Below are 19,937 nucleotides of genomic sequence, written 5' to 3' on the forward strand. Positions count from 1 at the left end.
CAATCTCTGTGGATGGAAGAATAAGATGTATAAAGAAAATGAAGTTTTGGCAATATGGTTGAACCATTGGATCTAGCTTTACATAAAACCTGCCATACCTGGGAATATCTACACACACACACAAAAATCGATAACAAAAAGACAAATAGACAACCCAATTTTAAAATCCGGCAAATGATCTGAATAGACATTTCTCCAGGGAAGATATGCAAATGGCAAATAAGCACATGAAAAAATGCTCAACATCATTATTCATCAGGGAAATGCAAATCAAAACTATTATAAGATACCACTTCACACCTACTAAGATGACTAGAATCAAAAAGTCAGATACTAACAACTGTTGGTGAGCATGTGAAGAAATCAACCCACATACACTGTTGGTGGGAATAAAAAAGGATGCAGCCACTTTGGAAAATAGTCTGGTAGTTCCTCAGATGATTAAACATAGAGTTACCATTTGACTTACCAATTCCATCTTTGCCACATATCGAAGAGAAATAAAAACACAGTCACACCAAAACTTGTAAATTAATCTTTACAGAAGCATTATTCATAATAGCCAAGAAATGGAAATAACTCAGATTGAATGGGCAAGAAAAATGTGATATATCCATAAAATAGAATATGATTCAGCTATAAAAAGAAATGAAGTATTCATGCTACAACATGGATAAACCTCAAAAGCATTATGCTAAGCAAAAGAAGCCAGTCATTTTTTAAAAATCATATTGTATGATTCCATTCATATGAGATAACCAGAACAGGAAAATCTCTAGAGACAAAGTTCATTAGCAGTTGGTTAGGTGAGAGAGGGATGGGATGATAGGCACTGATAGCTAAAACGTGTGGGATTTCTTTCTGAAATGATGAAAATCTTCTAAAATTGACTGTGGTGATGATTGCACATATCTGTGAATATACTAAAAACCATTTACTTGAATTGTATATATATTTTAAATGGGTGAATTGTATGGTTGTGAATTATATACCAATAAAGCTTTAAAAATAAATAGATTTTCTTTATTCTTTAAGCTGGTTTTAAATTGGGTTTTAGCTACTTGCAATTAAACAATTTCTAATACAAGTGCCATGAATTAAAACCACCAGGGCTTCAAGAGTATACATCGGAGTTACCTGATCTCATCTGGACATGGGGGACATTCAGAGTAGAAATCAAGAACAGTGGCCTGGTGGGCCAAATGTATGGCTGTGTTCCTCTATGCCAACCCTATAGGTTTCCAGTCTTCGCCTCCCTCCTCTGTTTGTAGAAGGCACCACTGGCCCTCACCTGCAGAGGGCTTTAGGGTCAATATGAACATGATGCAGGGCAGGAAGGCTCTCAGCAGCTTCCGCTGATCATCCATCATATCACTCATTTCCAGCCTTTATGAGTGTATAAATGCACATTTTTCATCAGCACACTCCTTTCTCTTTCCTAAAGCCCTGTTCTTTTTCTCCAGCCCCGTGTGACTGAGTTCCTAGAAATTTAGCTCAGTGTTTTTCTGGTATGACCAGGATCCCAAGTCCTACCTATATCTGGGCCTTGACTTTCTCTTGCAATTGTCCGTTGTAAAGACTAAAATAATAATAATGCATATAAAACAACTAGCATAATGTCTTCCCTAGTAGTACATGCCTAGTAAATGCTAATTTCTTTCCCTCTCCTCCAACAGACCTTCTGTCTGCTGGCAGACTACCTGGACTTCAAGTTTCTCCCATCTTCCGATTTGACCACTCTAGTCCACCTTTTGGATTTTTAGGGGGCAGGCTGCTCGTTGAATCCCTCCCAGCTTAATTTTGCTCATTGGATTTTCAATGCATTGACCCCAGTAGGAAAGTTAGTTCCCCATGGGTGTCCCCATTGCTACTCAATCTGAAAATAATTAAAACTGGTGATGCCTAGTAAAATAATCAAATATATCTGTCAGACAGTAAGCATGAGTATAAGTCCCACAGGGACAAGGGGTCTCACCTTACACCCACATAAAATAGCACAAAGGCTGAGACATGGTAGAACTTCGGAAAATATTTGTTAAATGGATAAATGGCCTTCATTGTACTGAAATTATCTAAATGTCTGTCCCGTCTTCTACAGTGGAAACTCCCATTAGGCAGTGCCTCTGTCTGATCACCTCTGTAAGCCCAAAAACTTGCAGATAGTCTACATTAGAGCAAGGCACTCAGTACATATTTGTAGATTTCTTGGCTTCTTCCATGAAGTCAATTACCCCAACTAAATAAGATCTCAGTTCCCTCTGAACACTTAACAACTTCTCCAATAAAACTCTTCTTACACATTTACATAATTCTGCCTTGTGCTATAATAATTTGCAAGAATGGCTTTTTGCCCCCATGAGCTTATGAGCTTTTCTAAAGGTGGGGTTCCCATCTGATTCATCTTCTGGGGCTCCTACACAGAATAAAAAGTATAACAGAAGCTCAGGAAACATATTTGTTGAATAAGCAAGTGGATGATCGAATACGTGGATATGAGAAGACCGAGAATTACTTAGCAGAGGAAATGAACTCGTGGTGTCTGGAAGGCAGCAACATGGTCTGGTCCACGCTCAGTTTTTGCTAAATTGAAATGACACTGTCATCAAGATTTATTAGTAGACATCTTGTTTGTTTTATCATCTTCTCCTCCCATAAGACTGAAAGTTCTCAGAGAACGGCACTCGTATCTGATGTGCTCACCATTGCATCCTCGCCGTTTTAACACATGATAAGTACTCAATAAAAGAGTTAATGGCTGGACATTAACCCACCCAGCAAGTCCCCAAGGTCCCAGCTCTCACATCCACCTCTCTTGCTTTCAATCCTGCGATGAGCAGTGGAAGCCTTGTGCCTTCTAAGTTGATGAGGATACAATCATGATGGTTATCATCCTCCTTCAGTACCCCCCACAAACCCCACTCCCCATTATACTTTACCAACTGGCTTGAATCATTTAATTTGCAGTTAATTCAGAGGCATCTGAGCCAGGCTCTGATATATTGGGTGATCAAGACAAATGGCTGGAGTATTTTTATGAGTAAAATCTCTCCAGTTTTCAGTACATAAATCATTTGTTGTGAAATCGCTCATTGTCTTTAGGCAAGGCTGTAACGTGAGGGAAAATTCTATCTATTTATGAGCCAAAAGTCAGGGGATTAGGAACAGTTTGAAGGAAAGAGGCTACAATATAAAAATAAGATTTATCTCTTAATATTCTCCTTACATATATTCCTCCACCCTTTTCTCTTACTTTTAAGCGTGGAATAGGAATTCAATTTCATGTTTGTTTCGCAGAATCACAGGGGGAAAAAACAGATCTTGAGAGGCAGAATTTAGAGAATTTTTTAGCTCCATACCAATTCAACCAATTCCTTTCTGATCTCAGGTTGAAAGTCACTTCCTCGGAGAAGCCTTCCTTGATGACTTAGTCTACATTAGATCATTCCCATTAATCATGGGCCCTCACAGCTCCTGTTGGTATTCCTTTTTTACTCTACTACAGTTCTAATGATACATTTATTTGTTTGCCTGCTTGCTTAATGCCTATATCTCTCAGTAGACTGTAAATTTATTTATGTAGGGATTATTACTATAAAAGGAATTTGTTTTCCCCTGTATCTTCAACACCTAACACAGTGCCTGGCATAAAATAGGTGCTGGGAAAACATCTGTTGTAAATAAATACATAATGAGAACTTCCCCAGCTCCTTTTCAGAGTTAATCTAGAAAGCCCACTACGGAAAAGAAAGCACTATTTAATTCTCCCAAGTATTTTACATATGTTGACTAGACATGAAATGTAACTCTTTTATAAAATAAATGTGTTTATTCTATGCAAATTATTGCACGAGTTACCCCTTATAATACTCTCAACAATGCCAAAATGTGGTAGAAATAGCTATTATCCTCATCCTAATGATAAGCAATTTGTAGCTTGGGAAGCTTCGACAACTTGTCCAAGATGTGTCAGCCACCAGTGGTACAGAAGGAATTAGAAGTCATATATTTTGACTCCCAAATTCAAATTCTTGCCACCATGCTCTGTACCCTCCTCCTGAAAACCTAGGGAGCAGAAGGAATTTATTTCCTGATGAAAACTTTTTTCTCCTTTTTGGATCTCCATCACTAGAAGGAACAAAATAAGTGAAAACAACTGAAGACCAAAGGTAGGATTATGTTTTCCTTTTCTCTTTAAAAGTGGCAGAAAATCAGCAGACATGATTCTGAACATGGTCAATGTTTTTCAGACTGTGCTAGCATCTTCCTGCAAAAGAGTTTTTCAGAAAACCTTGCAGGATGTCGGCTCCTGCTCTATACAAGATTCATCTTTTGGTGCATTGATCCAAAAGGGAGGGCTTCACTTCCAACAAACTGTAGCAGAGGCACGCAGACACAGAGGCACATCCACAGCTGCACATGCTTACACATATGTTTGAACTATGCCCATCAGTGCCCACAAATGGACTCCTGCATATGTTTTCACAAACAAGCAATACATCATCCTCCTTCACCATCACAGCAAGCACAGGATCAGATGAATGCACTAATTCGCTCATGCCTCTACACAAATGCGTCCTCATAAACATTTAATAATAACCCAAGTCGATATACCATCTTACAACACACAAGGTCTTTTCCTGTCCGTTTTCCCATTTTACTCTTAAAATAACCCATGTTTTATTTGATTTTTTAAAATGCCAACCTAATAGTTTAATAGGGGTCTTTACCTGAGCCTCATTAGATGGGTTTCAGAGGTTCTCAGGCTTACTCTGAAATCGAATGCAAAACTGCCTATATGTGCATTTTTTTCAGCGTGTTAGGATCCAGGGTTTTCATGCCTATTTCCCTACCCACAAGAAAAGGTTTTGGGCCACCAAGTCATGGGAATGATCTCACTGACCTGAAACTAAAGATATTAAAGTTTATAAAAGTGCCTTTTCCTCCATTTCCTCACTTAATTCACACATCTACAACCTTATGAAATTAACCTTACAAGTATGACTTTTTGATAGATGAGAATACCGGGCTTGGAGGTATCTCCAAGCTCATGTCCCCTAACACCCACTTATCTTTTTTAATTCTGCCTGCCACACTACTGAGATGGAAAAAGAAGAGAGACTAACATCTGATAGGGATTGCCCTTGATAGGGAATTACACATGTTTTCTCCATCCATGTGAGCCAAAAGGTCACATACAGGTTTTTTCATAGGAAACCAACTCAGGCAACTGAAAAGTGACTATTTTAATAAAAATTTTAGTTTCTTACTACACATCTAGTAAATATAACATTTTGGACAACCAGAGAATAAAGATTCCCTAAGAGATTAACCAGATCATTTTTAACAGCTCTATAAACACATGCCCAAAGAGGCAAGCTGTTTCCTCTTCTTGCTTGGGGGTGCTCTTTGTCCAGATAGCCAGATGGCTCATTCACTCACTTCCTTCAGATCTCTGTTCAAATGGCGTATTGTATGATTACTGGCCACATGTATGTCTTCTTTTCAGAAAAGTGTCTGTTCATGTGCTTTGCCCACTTTTTAATGGATTTTTTTTTCATGTAAATGTATTTAAGTTCCTTCTAGGTGCTGGATATTAGACCTTTGTCTGATGCATAGTATGCAAAAATTTTCTCCCACTCTGTAGGTTGTCTGTTTACTTTGTTGATAGTTTATTTTGCTGTGCAAAAGCTCTTTAGTTTCATTAGATCTCATTTGCCACTTTTTGCTTTTCTTGCAATTGCTTTTGGCATCTTCGTCATGAAATCTTTGCCCGTGCCTATGTCCTGAATGATATACAACAAACTCCCATGACACACGTTTACCTGTGTAACACATGTACCCCTAAACTTAAAATAAAAGTACTTTAAAATGCCATATTATAATTCACACCTTCCCTGACCACACAATAAAGTATCAGCCCCCATCCTCCTACCCCACAACACTCTAATACTTGCTTTTTCTCTTTTAGTATTGTTTTTTAATGTATTGTATTTCTTATAATACAATACAATGTATTGTTTATTTAATTGGTTATGTATTTAAGGCATGTCTTCATGTGCTAGAATGAAACCTCTATGAGGTGGAGACTTTGTCTATTTAACTTGCTGTTCTAAAACTCAGACAAAACACTCAGTATTTGTTTCATGGATGGAGCCTTACCACAAAAGCTTTAGAACTCAGTAGCCTCTTCAGAGAAGATAAATAATTTGCTTAAGGTCACCCAGCTATTAAAGAGCTTCAAACTTAAGTACTTCCAAGTACTGTGTACTTCTGCTACATTATCACTGCCACCCACAAGTGAATTTCGTAAAATTTATCTTCAGTTCGCCTCCCAGAGGCATGAATGAGAACTTTCCCTGTAATAGGAAAGGAAAATCTATTGATCATTCATACGACTTAAACAATAAGAAAATGTATTGGCTTATGTGATTGGGAAGTACAGACATAGAACGAACATTCGAGTTGGTTTGATCCAAGGCACAGCAAGGTCATAATGGACCTGAACTATTTTGCATCTTTATGCTCTACTTTCTATAATGTTGACTTTATCCTAAGGCTACGTATATTGACTGGGTCCAGTCAGGAAAACAAAAACCAAATACTCTATGTTTTTAATTGAAATATGTATTAAAATAATTGTAGATTCATTTACACCTTGCACTTTTGCCCATTTTCCACCATGGTAACGTTTTCTAAAATTACAGTGTAACATCACAAACAGGATACTGACATTGATTCAACCCACTGAACTTATACTGATTTATCCCATTTTACTTGTGTGTGTGTGTACATGTTAAGATGTATTTATATAATTCCTTATTTTATTACCTGTATAGCTTCATGTATCCACCACCTCCATCAATACACAGAGCTTTTCCAAGATTTCAAGGATCCCTCCTGTAATTTGGGGGAGAATTTATATGATGTTGACTCTTCCAGTCCATGGCACAGTATTATTCTCTATTTATTCTGGTCTCCTTTGATTTATTAGTGTTTTATATTTTTCAGCATAGAGATCCTGTACATGTTTTCTTAAAAGCATATGTAGTATTTCATTTTCTTCGGCATGATTCTAAATGATATTTCATTTTAATTTTGATATTTACAAGTTCATTTTTAGTATATAGAAATGCAATTGATTTTTGTGTTAAAATTGAATCTTGGAACTTGTAAGCCTGCTAAACACACTTATTAACATGAGTTTTGTTGTTGTTGTTGTCGTCGTTTTGATTTTATAGATTCCAAACTTTGGATTTCCTAAGTAGAAAATCATGTCTTCTGCAAATAGGAGATATTTTATTACTTTGTTTTTGTTAATATTTTTAATCCCCTTGTAGATTATTATTTTAATTGACAAATTATAATTGTATATATTTATAGGGTACAATGTGATGTTTTGCTATATGTATACAATGCTGAATGATTAAACCCAGCTAATTAACATCTCCTTCACTTCACTTATGTATCATTTTTTTGTAGTGAGACATTTGGAAGTTACTCTCTTGGTTTTGTTGAAATATACCTTTTATTATTTTTCTTGTCTTAGTACACTAGCTAACATTTCCAGTACCATGTTGAATAAGAGTGGGCATCCTTGCCTTATTCCCAACCTTAGGAATAAAGTATTTAATCTTTCACCATTAAGTATCATGTTAGCTATAGGATTTTTATAGATGATTTTTATCAAGTTAAGGATAAAAGTTTGCTGAAAGCTTTTATTGTGAATTAGTTTGGAGAAATAGGAACACTTTTACATTGTTGGTGGGACTGTAAACTAGTTCAACCATAGTGGAAGACAGTGTGGTGATTCCTCAAGGATCTAGAACTAGAAATACCATTTGAACCTGCCATCCCATTACTGGGTATATACCCAAAGGATTATAAAGCATGCTGCTATAAAGACACATGTACACACATGTTTATTGCGGCACTATTCACAATAGCAAAGACTTGGAACCAACCCAAATGTCCATCAATGATAGACTGGATTAAGAAAATGTGGCACATATACACCATGGAATACTATGCAGCCATAAAAAAGGATGCATTCATGTCCTTTGTAGGGACGTGGATGAAGCAGGAAATCATCATTCTCAGCAAACTATCACAAGGACAAAAAAACCAAACACTGAATTTTCTCACTCATAGGTGGGAATTGAACAATAAGAACACTTGGACACAGGAAGGGGAACATCACACACCTGGGCCTGTCATGGGGTGGGGGGAGTGGGGAGGGATCCCATTAGGAGATATACCTAATGTAAATCACCCGTTAATGGGTGCAGCACACCAACATGGCGCATGTATACATATGTAAAAAACCTGCACATTATGCACATGTACCCTAGAACTTAAACTATAATACAAAATAAATAAATAAGTAAAAATATATATACATAAAAATTTTAAAAATGAATAAATGAAAGAAAAAGAAAACAGCCTTCCTATTTGTACACAGTGACCTCTTATTTTCACAAGGGAGGGGCAGCTCTAATGTTGGGCCTCTGTTTCTTTTTTGCATTTCAAACAAAACGGAATGAGCAAAGAAGTGAGGAGTAGAAATGTAGCAGTTAAGGAGCTAAGAAGAATTGTCCTAAAACTATTTGTAAAGACATAAATTGCCACCTTGTGTCATTGACTATTCAAATCAGTAAGCATTCAAATAGGATAATCTGTATTTGGCTTAGGACTGACTGGCACAAGAAATAACTCCTTCCATGAAGACATCAGCTTTCCTCTTAGTAATTTTGGTCTGCCCTGTGCTGTGGGCCCCTGAGAATACACATATATTTTTATCCATATTCACTGCATTTTATGGTTTCTGATTATTTCAAATATACAAAATGCTCTTTCTTCCAACAAAGAACATTAACACAATAGGAAAAAAAGGAGTAAGAATGTGAGGTCATTAGACCTGGAGTTAAGTTGACTCTGTCACATGCCTAGCTAGGTGAACTTGTTACCCCCCATTCAACCTCCCTGAGCTGCAGACTTATCCTCAAGGGAATAAAATGAGTTTCCTAAAATCTCTCAAGGAATCACTAAAAGTATAATGTGATAATGTATATAGATGTGCCATAGATATATAAAATACTATTAATCTTACCAAGGAGGTTTGGAGAACTTTTTTTAATGAGTAAGTATGAGTTTTTTCCATTGCCTAACAATAAAACTCAACCTATTTAACTCAGCTTTTAAGAAGCTTCAAGAATTGTTACCAACCTGCCTGTCCAATGTTATTCTTGTTGTTCATTCACTCAATGGATAATAATTGAGTACCTACTATGTTCCAGCATCCATGCTGGGCACTGTAGAAACAGTGGTGAACACAAGAGATATCCTCTCTGATGAGAAGAGAAGGTTCTAGGCATAAGAATCAGCATAAGAGAGATGCAAAAGTGGAGATTAGCCTGGGACATCTAGGAACTGAAAAGCCAATGGGACTAAAGGTAAGCAGCAGGGATGAGAGGGCTGAGTGAGCTGGAGAGATAGGCAGGGTCCCCTTAGCTCCAGACAAAGTGGCAAAATGAACAAGCTTACCATTCATTAAGTACTGGGCATAATCTCCTGCCTTCTTGCTTTTCTGCAGGCAGATGCCCTGATTGGTTTTAATATCTGTCCCCTCCAAATCTCATGTTGAATATGATCCCCTGTATTGGAGGTGGGGCCTGCTGGGAGGTGTCTGGGTTATGAGGGCAGATCCCACATAAATGGCTTAGCGCCATGCCCCTGGTGATGAATGAATTCTTGCTCTGGTAGTTCACATGACAGCTGGTTGTTTAAAAGAGTGGGGCACCTCCTCCCCTCTCTCTTGCTCCTTTTGCTCTTGCTCCGTCTCTCACCGTGTGACGCGACTGCTCCCCCTTAGCCTTCCACCATAAGTAGAAGCTTCCTGAGGTCCTTGCCAGAAGCAGATGCTGATGCCATGTTTCCTGTACAGCCCATAGAACCAGGAGCCAAATAAACTTCTTTTCTTTATAAATTACCCAGCCTCAGATATATCTTTATAACAATGCAAAAACAGGCTAATACACCTCAGGTCCTTGATTGCCAACCATGTCATCCCCACTTCTGCTGTACACAGTCTTTACTTCAAAGTCCAAAACTAATGCCAATACCTGTGCAAAACCTGCTGTGTTAGGCCATTCTTGCCTTGCAATAAGGAAATACTTGTAGTTGGGTAATTAATAAAGAAAAGAGGTTTAATTGGCTCAGAGTTCTGCAAGTTGAACAGGAAGCATAGCACCAGCATCTGCTTTTGGGAAAGCCTCAGGAAGCCTACAATCATGGCAGAAGGCAAAGGGGGAGCAGGCATGTCACATGGTGGAAACAGGAGCAAGAGACACAGTAGAGGGGAGGGGCTGCCACACATTTTAAACAACCAGCTCTCATGAGAATTCACTCACTATCACAAGGACAGCCCCAAGCCATGAGGGATCTGCATCACTACCATGATCAGGCACCCCTCTTTGTCACACATTAGGCTCTTTGAGGGTGGGGCTCTGGCATCTTCATCTCCTTACTCCTTGGCTTACTGCATGTTTGTTCCTCTGATCTAAGAGCACCTTTGATCTCCACCTTTGCTGTTTTTTATTTACAAGGACCTAGTAAATGTCGTTGGGTCAATTCAGCAATAGGAAAGAGAAAAATATAATTTGAGAAACAGGGGCTGCCCCAAGAAGAACATGACCTCATCTCGAAAGCTCAGGTGAGCCCAAAAGATCTAGCAGCTGGATGCCATCCCTTAACCCAGTCCTTGCACTGGACCATGAGCTCTTTCTTGAAGGAGGATCTGATCAGCAACAGTGGTCATTTGTCAGTGCTGGACATCTATCAGCCAATGCTATCTATAAGTTTATGGACATTAGCCAGACATCCAGCAGAACATGACTGTCTCTATGTAGCAGTATTGCAGGAAATTTTATTATGTTCATGGGCATTTCCAAACCCAGGCCCCTAGTGAGAGCCACAGCTGTCACAGGGCTTCACCCCATTATCAGCCGTCAGCCCAGCACTTCCCGACAATGGCAGCTGTTGGCATCCTGTAGACAGCCAAGTCCAAGGAACGTCTGCTTTGTTTCTAATCTTGTCAGGGGACAACCCCACCCTGACCCCACCAGTCCAGGGGGTCAGGCTGATGTCATGGGTGTTCTGTAGCTTCTGTCATCACTGAAGATTGCTTCAAATGCTGTGAGAGAGATGAATGGTACCAGCCACCAAGACCTGCTTCCCCACGTCAGACACATTCCATGGGCTGAAAAGGAGTTAATCCCCTTTTCTAATGTAAGCATTTAGTTTCTTAATGTAAAACTTAAAGACAGAAACCTACATGTGTGATGGTGTTCTGAGTTGGAATGTGGGTAAAAGTTGGCATTTGTGAGTCAGAAGATTCAGAGTTGAGTTAGAGTTCTGATACTCATACTAGCTCTGTGACCATAGGCAAGTCAGTCTCCACTCTCTGGCCTTCGTTTCTGTTTATAAAAAGAAAGGGAAAGAACCAATGATTTCTAAGTCTTCTCCTGGATCTACATTTCCAGGATTCTTTATTGCAGTGTCAACAAAGGCACCTACTCTGGGGCAGAGACTGTATTGGGGCTTTACACATACTGCATCTATTTTATCCTCACATCTCCTCAGGTTAGATTTTAATATTTCCAACAGTTCTATGTTTCCTACAAGGAAAATGCAAGGTGTTGGTGGGCCGGGGCGGGGTGTAATCTTTCTGAAGTTGTGTAGATATAAAAGTCATCAATGGATTTAAACCCAGGCGGCCTGATTCTCACATCTCCCCTGGCCTCAAAATTATTTCCATATTCATATGAAAAACCCCAGCCAGTCACAAGAGCCCATACAGTGTCCAGTGTCTGTCACTAGCAGAAGGAATGAAAGGGAATTTATCTGCAGAATGAGGAATTACAACTGGAGTAAAAAGAGAATGGTCTGAAGGTTTCTAGGCAGCAGAGTCAAAACAAGGACAGCTTCATGCTTAAAGACACAGATGGCCATAGCTCAAAATGTTTGATTCTGGTCCAGGCTGGACTTGGAGGCATAGATTAGAAGACCTGAAAGCCACTTTTCATGTTTGAAGAAAAGAATAAAAGTTAGGAAATGAAGATCTGCAGAGTGAGAAGCCAGACCATTCATGATGGTCTTTATCTTTGTAAAGATTTTCTTGATAATTTTTTTTAAAAAACCAAGTCCCTTAATTTTAGAGTATATCTTTTATTAAAGAAGCTGTTTCATAACTATGTCTCACCTACTTGCAAGAAAATTATTTCCACTAGATAGAAACATTATTAACCACATTATGTCTATGAGAAAACTGAGGCCAAGTGAGGAAAGATGAAATTAGAAACATTATCTCCTGATGCCCAGATTCATAGACTCCATACCTCACTGATATGGCAGAGACTACTGGATGCCTACCCAATAGCCTTGTTCCCTTAATAGAAGAGCCTAGTTTTATTTGAAGCAGCAAAGCATCAAGCAAAAAGATTATATTCCCAAGCCTCCCTTTCAACTAGAGTTGATCATGCAACCAAGTTCTGGACAGACAGTGAGTACTTTTGTGGGAGAATTCCATAAAGTCCTTTTAAAGCAACCTGAGTTAATGAAGGTGGATCATTTGTTCCCTTCTTCTTTTTTTTCTTCCTGCTCCCTGCCGATGAAAAACTAAAGCTCCATCCACTATCGTGGGCTAACAGTGAGCTTGAGTACAAAGCTGTGCATTAGGATGAAGAAGATGAAATATAATGGGAGCCTGGGCTCCTGAGCATCTCAAGGCTGCCATACCAACCCTGGCTTGCCTTCTTCTGAAATTCTCATATATAAGAAAGAAAGAAATGATTTTTATAAAGCCACATTATTTGCAGGGCTTCTTTTTTATGCAGCTAAGCCTAATCCTAAAGGTTACAATGAGATGGCTTAATTTGAGAAATGATGCAGAAAGAAGACACTATCTGCTATCAGACCTGGTTCCTTCCCTTGGCCCACATGGTCATAAGAAGGAAGGAAGGAATAATGAATGAAACACAGTTCATCAGATTGGAATGCCATCAACTGCATGACATGCTATAATTTTATGCATCACCAACAAAGAAAAAAATGTTGCCAATTAAACTATGACATGTCATTGATTGTGAGATGCAAATCAATTTCATAAATGCTAAAATGTGAGGGGAAAAAAAGCCAACCTGTGAAATATGGTGTGCTGAGGATTTAGCAAAGCACAGTTAGGATTTAAAGTTCATCAGATCAATGCATCCTCCCATCCCTATCTTAAAGAACAGGACACCAACACCAAGGTCCAGCAAGGGGCAGTAATTTGTCCTATAAAATTCAGGGATAGAGACAAGATGAGAATCTTGACAGCAAATTGAGAGCTCTTTAATAGGTCCCAATAGATACCAAATATTTGTTTGTGTTACCTTGACCACTAGCAACACGTTTATTTAATCATCCACCTGTTCCTGTTTTTCCCTTTAAAATATGCAGTGCTGAATAGCAGAGGCAAAGGCCCTCACCCCTCCCACACACAAATGGACTCAGCAGTCACAGGAGATGATGCAGACAGATTTCCCAGTAAATTCATGCTCACACAGGGCATACACCTGAGTCAGTGGCTCTGAAGGAGATGAAGAACACCAGGTGGCTATGGAGAACTGCAGGTAGGAGTCTCTGAAACACAGGAAATTGAGATGGCATAGCAGTGGCTGATGGCTGGGGCCTGAGGAATATTCAGCTCAAATCTCTCCTTCCTTCTCTTACAAGGGAAGAAACACCATGGTGAATGGCGCTTTCCCAAGGGATATCCAGAACCTAGACTCCCAGTTTATCAGAGATGGAGGGCCCAAAGAGATCATGCATCAGTCTAGCCTGCATTAAAGATAAAAATTCTTCTAATCTCTCATAATCTGTTGTGGGTTTTAGAAAGACCATGCTTCTGACAGTACTGTTGATTCCGGAGGCAAGGAGTGAAGTAAGAAGGACACTTCAGCCATCCAGGTAAAGAGAACAGCAGGTCCTGGACTAAAGCAGAAAAGACGGAGTGAGTAGGAAAGATGGTCCAATCAAACATCAACGAAGCTTCAAAAACATCAAGCTTCTGAAGTCATTTTCCTGTTCTTGGTACTGTTTCCTCCTCTGTTCCCAAATATACCCTATGCCCTCGCTCTCAACATCCCTCATTGCAATTCATCTTTTTTTAGACTATGCATAAATAAGGTATGAATGACTAATAACGGTGTAGGTTGCCAAGGACAGCTGCGTTCATATAGGGAATCCAAGCCATAAGCTAAATGATGTAGTTCTGATGGCAGAATTTCAAACATCAACCTGGGGATGAAGAGGTACTTGAGTCATTAGGGCCTCCCATTGCTATAGATATCCTCAGCTATCTTTCCTCCTCTAAGGATGCTTGCATGAAAAATAAGCTAGTCTTTCCTATTTTTCTCCAGCAAAAAATTTTAAATTTCAATGTGCATCTTTCTATATGTGTATGTATATGTGTGTATAGAGAAGGTCTAAATGAGTGAAACTTTTGCACAATAAAGCAATATAGGGAAATATGGTGGGTTACTTTTTAAAGTATACAGTAGCATGGTAGAACAGAATGTCTATGGGGCCTGCTCTAATAAATACATAGAATGGTTTATAATTAGCAGAAGCCTTGAAAATGGGTCTTCTTCTGATACTTAGATAAAAAAGGATGAGTTTATGAAAATGTTTTAAAAACTGGAAGCACTATAGATATGTTTTCTTTAACATGATATGACTATTTGAAATGGATTTGTTCTTGGAGGGCATTAATTATATTGCAATGAAGTTTTCACCACAATCAGAACCAGGATTATCTTCATTTTACAGATGATGAAACAAAGGCTCAAAAAAGTAGCCCAAGCCATTGTTCTTCGCAAAATTGTACAGTTATCTCTCAAAATGGGGGTCAGTGGGCAGAGCGTTGGGCTCCAAAACTAAAAATGTCTTCCCTGTAAATTATCCTAGGGAAAGGGAGACAGAACTGATATCCATTGAGCATTTTCCCTGGTCCAGTGAAACTTTTAAGTATCATCTAATAGAATCCCCAGAATAAACCTAGGAAGTAAGTGCCATTATTATCCCCACTATGCTGGTTCAGAGAGGGTAGGATCCTGCCCAAGCTCACAGAGCAAGAAGGCAGCAGGACCAGATCTCACACCTAGGTCTGGCAAACACCAAGGATGTGGCTAGCTCTTACAAGTCCAGAGTTTTTCTATTCCATAGCTGTGAGTATACATTTGGTTTATTTGGAATAATAGTGCCTCATAGCTCCCCTGGGGAAAAGAGGACCTGGGGATACTTTCAATCTGGATGGATATTGCCTTGCCAAGAATTCATTTATGGAGAAAGCAAACAGTCTCCCTCTCTCGTAAACCTGCATTTTGCCAAATGAATACATAATGAGGCCTTCAGAACATTGAGACATTATTTTCCCTGCAAATCCTGGACCATTTAGAAGGATATCAGACCTTGCTTTGCTTGGCAGGAAAACTATGTTAGTGATTCATTCCAAAGCATAAAAGGACAATACAGAAACAGTCACGGAAAAAGGTGTAAGAGCAGAGAAGAGAAGGCAAGGTCAGGGGTAGAGGGGAAGGAGGGGACAGAAGAAGGAGGAGACATGAGGAAGGAGGAAGGAAGGAGGAGGCTGCCGTTGTGAGCACTGGGCACAGGATGCTTTTGAAATGCAGACACCAGGTCAGATCTCAATATAGCAGCTGATCCCAAGCTTCTACAAAAGGTACTGAAGTTAGCACTTCTGTCTGGTCAGAAAGGCAGCTGGAAGATGGAGATAAAAGAACGGCCACTCATTCCACCCCACCCCCTACCTCCAATCACACATAACTTTGAATGCAGGGGAGAGAAAAGGTGCTGGGCCCAAAAACAGGGGTGGGCCGGAAGGAGGGAGCAGCCTGCCATCTGATCAAAAACACTTTCAAGTTAAGATTAAACTCTAGAGATTGCAGGAGGCCAATTTAATGGAAAATGTTCCCTGTCCTCCCTGTCCCCTTCCTTGGCTTCCCATGGGAGGGGACTGGGTTGTGATGTTGCTCATCAGAGGAACTCCAGGGTACCAGATCTTATCCAAATGAGCAGCTGGAAATGACCAAAATGATAGGAAAAAAAATAGTTTACAACATGTTGAAAGAGAGACAAGGGTGGGAAAGATAGATTTTAATTATCCTGCATTCTTCCTGTGGAAGGGCAGGACACCCAGGAACATTTAAAGGCCATTAGCTCTGAAAGCTGAAGCTGGCAAAGGGAAAATCCACTGGCAAAGGGAAAATCCACTGGAAAATCACTTTTCCAGGCCTCAGTTTCTCCATATGGAAAATAGAAAGGTCAGGTCACTATAGAGATTGCCCCACACTGAGCAAGTATGCAGAGTGGTTAAGTCTATGGGGTCTGCTCAAACTTCTCCTCTCCCACCTATAAGCTGTGTGACCTTGACAAGTGTCTTAACCTTCCTGAGCCTCAGTTTCCTTTCTGTGAAGTGGCAGTCATGATCAATTCTACCTGTCAGGATTATGGTGAGGATTAAATGAGCTAGTCCATGGGAAGTGCATAAAACAGTGGGTGCTCCACAACAAACATGCAATATAAGCTCCCACTATCTTTATTACTAGATATTCAGATGTTCTCTTGTCCTGCAAAAGATGGCGAGATGGAGAAGGTTGACCCTAAAACTATGGATTTGAGACCTACTTCCGCAAATCACTTAGCTTATTCCTAAGGCCTAGCTTTGTCATTCAAAATACAGGGCTTGTAAGGTGTGTGACTGCCAAGTGCTCTGTAAACATGAGGTCAATATCAGTTGTCACCTCTCATCAGTGGAAATGAGGAGTAGCATTCAGTGGGTATGAAGTCTCAGTTATACAAGATTAATAAGTTCTAGGGATCTGCCATACAAAATAATGCCTAGAGTCAATAATAGTGTATTGCGCACCAAAAATATTTAAGAGGGTAGATCCCATGTTAAGTGCTCTTACTATGCATGAAACAAAAACAAATGAACAGAAAAAAGATGGCATAAGGAAACTTCTGGAGGTGATGGATATATCTATTGTCTTGATCATAGTGATTGTTGTATGGGTGTATAAATATATATATATATATATATACTTAAATTCATCAAATTATATGCAAGAAATTTGTACAGTTTTACTTATCAATTATAGTTCAATAAAGATGTTTTTTAACCAGTGAAGTTTTTCTACAAAGACAATTCTATATTACAAATAAATTGCATTTTAGCAGAAAAAGTATAGTAATACAGAAAATTGTTAAGCCCCATACCTCTTCGAAAAGCATAAATTGAATTTTGCTTGGCCGTCAATACTATATTACTATGTTTATAAATAAATAAATGAATAAATAGATAGATAACATTTCTGTTAGCTCTAAAGGACTTCCTACACTCTTAAATTCAAGGATGATATTCTGCACCTTTTAGAGCTGTGTGTACACACACTCCCAACTGACAAGCTTCTGCATGTGGTTGAATATTGCCTCACAGTGTTCCAGAAGCAAGAAAGATGCCATGTCTCCAGCTGGTCAGCCTAGAAATTGGAAGCAGAACCAATTGTGGCTAACTAGAGATCCTGCTGGGCCTCTGCACGTCAGCCTCCAACTTGCCTGGGAAGGCCCCAGGTCATTAATGGCCACAAACAGCAGGACATTTTCTGCCTGTCTTCTTGCAGTGACCAGGACACAAGATGCTTGACCAATGAGAGAGGCCCATTCAAAGCCATTGCACCTCTAAGGAGGGGTGAGCTGCCATCAGCCTTTTCTCCCAATCTGCAGAATTTTATGACCTTTTCTCTGCTAAGAACAAAGTTCATTGCCTCAATTCCACCACTTGCTGTTGGAGCTGGTGGGATGTAGAGTGGGGAGTTTCACATTCTGACCCCACTGCTGACACCCCCTGTGGCATCTTTGCAGCCGCATTCCCTCCTCTGGGTGCTATGGTCTGAATGTTTGTACCCTCCCACACAAATTCATATGTTGAAATCCTATCCCCCAAGGTGATGGTATTAGGTGGGGCTTTGAGGGAGGCCATTAGATCAGGAAGGGAGATCCCTCATGAATGGGATTAGTGCCCTTATAAGATATACCCAAGGGAGCTCATTCACCCTTCCACTATGTGAAATCACAGCTGGAAGGAGCCATCTATGAGCCAAAAAAATGGACCCTCACTAGACACAGAATCTATCAATACCTTGATATTGACTTCACAGCCTCCAGAGCTATGAGACATAAATGACTGTTGCTTATAAATCACCAGTCTATGTATGGTATTTTGTTATAGCCACTCGAATGGACTAAGACACTGGGCCTCAGTTTCCTTGTAGGGTAACTGGAGCCAATGATTCCTAATATAATGGCTTATATCTGGAACATATGGTGGCCTATGTCTGTAGTCCCAGCTCCAAAGTAAGCATTTTACAATGTGGTTGCTGGATGCTCAGGAGCCCCCCATGATACCTGGCGTTCACTCCCTCATGTGGTTCCCTCCCTTTGCATGCAGGCAGGGCCTGTTACTTGCTTTTAGCCAACAGGACAAAGATGATGGGATGTAATTTCTGCGATTTGTTCCATGAGATTGTAACATCAGTCTTGCCAGAAGACTCTCCCCCTTGCTGCCTTTGATAAAACAAGTGGCCATGTTGGGAGGCCCGTGTGGCAAGACACCAGTCAGCAGCCAGCAAAAAACTGTCCTCTGTATCACAGCTTCAAGGAACTAAATCCTGCCAAAATCAAGTAAGCTCACAACAACCCACAACTACTCAGTCAAGAAGCAAGACGAGAGGACAGCCCCAATCAACACCTTGATTTCAGCCTTCTGAGCCCCTACAGCAAAGGACCCAGATAAGCCATGCCTGAACTCCTGGCCCACAGAAACTGTGAATTAATAAATGTCTGTTGCTTTAGGACACCAAATTTATCCTGATACTGTTATACAGCAATAGATAACTAATACAATAGGATAAAATGATGAATGCTACTGAGAAAATACACAATAAATACATGTGAATGGACTCTAATAACAATTGCAGTAGTCAAAATATAACAGATGTTATCCAGTGCCCCCTTCTAAAGGAAGCTTTCCTAAACACAGCTCCTGCCATTCAGGTGGCCCCTGTTTTACACCATGTAATCTGGTTCCCTACCCCCACTCTCCAGCAACAACTGCCTCGACGCTGTCCAGTGAAAATATAACACGAGCCACATATGTGATCTTAGATTTTCCATTAGACACATTAAACAGGTAAAAAGACAAGGAAAATTAATTTGAATAACATATTTTATTGAGCCACTATGTAGAAATGGTATCACTTCTGCCTGTGACACTGGCTACATTTCAAGTGTTTAATAGCCCCATGTGGCCAGTGACTATGTGGACCATACAGGGTTATGTGGACACCTGCCCCAAAGGCAACTGATCCATAGACCGGCTGTCCATCATGGAATCAACCCTATGATCTCATCTGACAAGGTGAGCTGGACCAGTCACATTTTTTCTCTAGGCAATTTTAACTAAGAAACATAAAAAGACTGCCAGTTGGTGTTAAAAGCTGCAGCTGAAAGGTGAGGATGGGGTTTTTCAAGGCTGTGAAGGGCCAGGAACAAATTTCAGTATGGAAGAAAATAACCCAGAAGCTCCAGAAGCAGGGAAAAGCAAATGGTGGCAGAATGCAGCTCATAAATGGAGTGCAGCTTGACGCACATGAATGGCAGGTTATTGGAGTAAAGAAATGGCCCTTCCTTCATTCATTCAATAAATATTTATGGAGCGCCTCCCATTGCCAAGCACTGTGCCAGGCACTGGGGTACAGTAAACAGCAAAACAGATCAGTCCTTGTCATCACATAATTGGCAGTCTAGTGGGAAATGACAGA

General features: G+C 39.9%; 2 long non-coding RNA genes across 2 annotated transcripts in view; one reads left to right on the top strand and one right to left on the bottom strand.

Annotated features, from left to right (window-relative positions):
- LOC107987122 (uncharacterized) overlaps positions 1–19,937 on the bottom strand; it is a 101,852-nt gene that overhangs the window by 55,960 nt on the left and 25,955 nt on the right. The gene's annotated exons all lie outside the window — the stretch shown is intronic.
- Positions 11,407–14,179, top strand: LINC01613 (long intergenic non-protein coding RNA 1613). Its single transcript, NR_132393.1, has one exon. It is a non-coding gene; the product is annotated as a long intergenic non-protein coding RNA 1613 (long non-coding RNA).

The sequence above is a fragment of the Homo sapiens genome, chromosome 9 (assembly GCF_000001405.40).
Source record: "Homo sapiens chromosome 9, GRCh38.p14 Primary Assembly".
Classification (NCBI taxonomy): domain Eukaryota; kingdom Metazoa; phylum Chordata; class Mammalia; order Primates; family Hominidae; genus Homo; species Homo sapiens.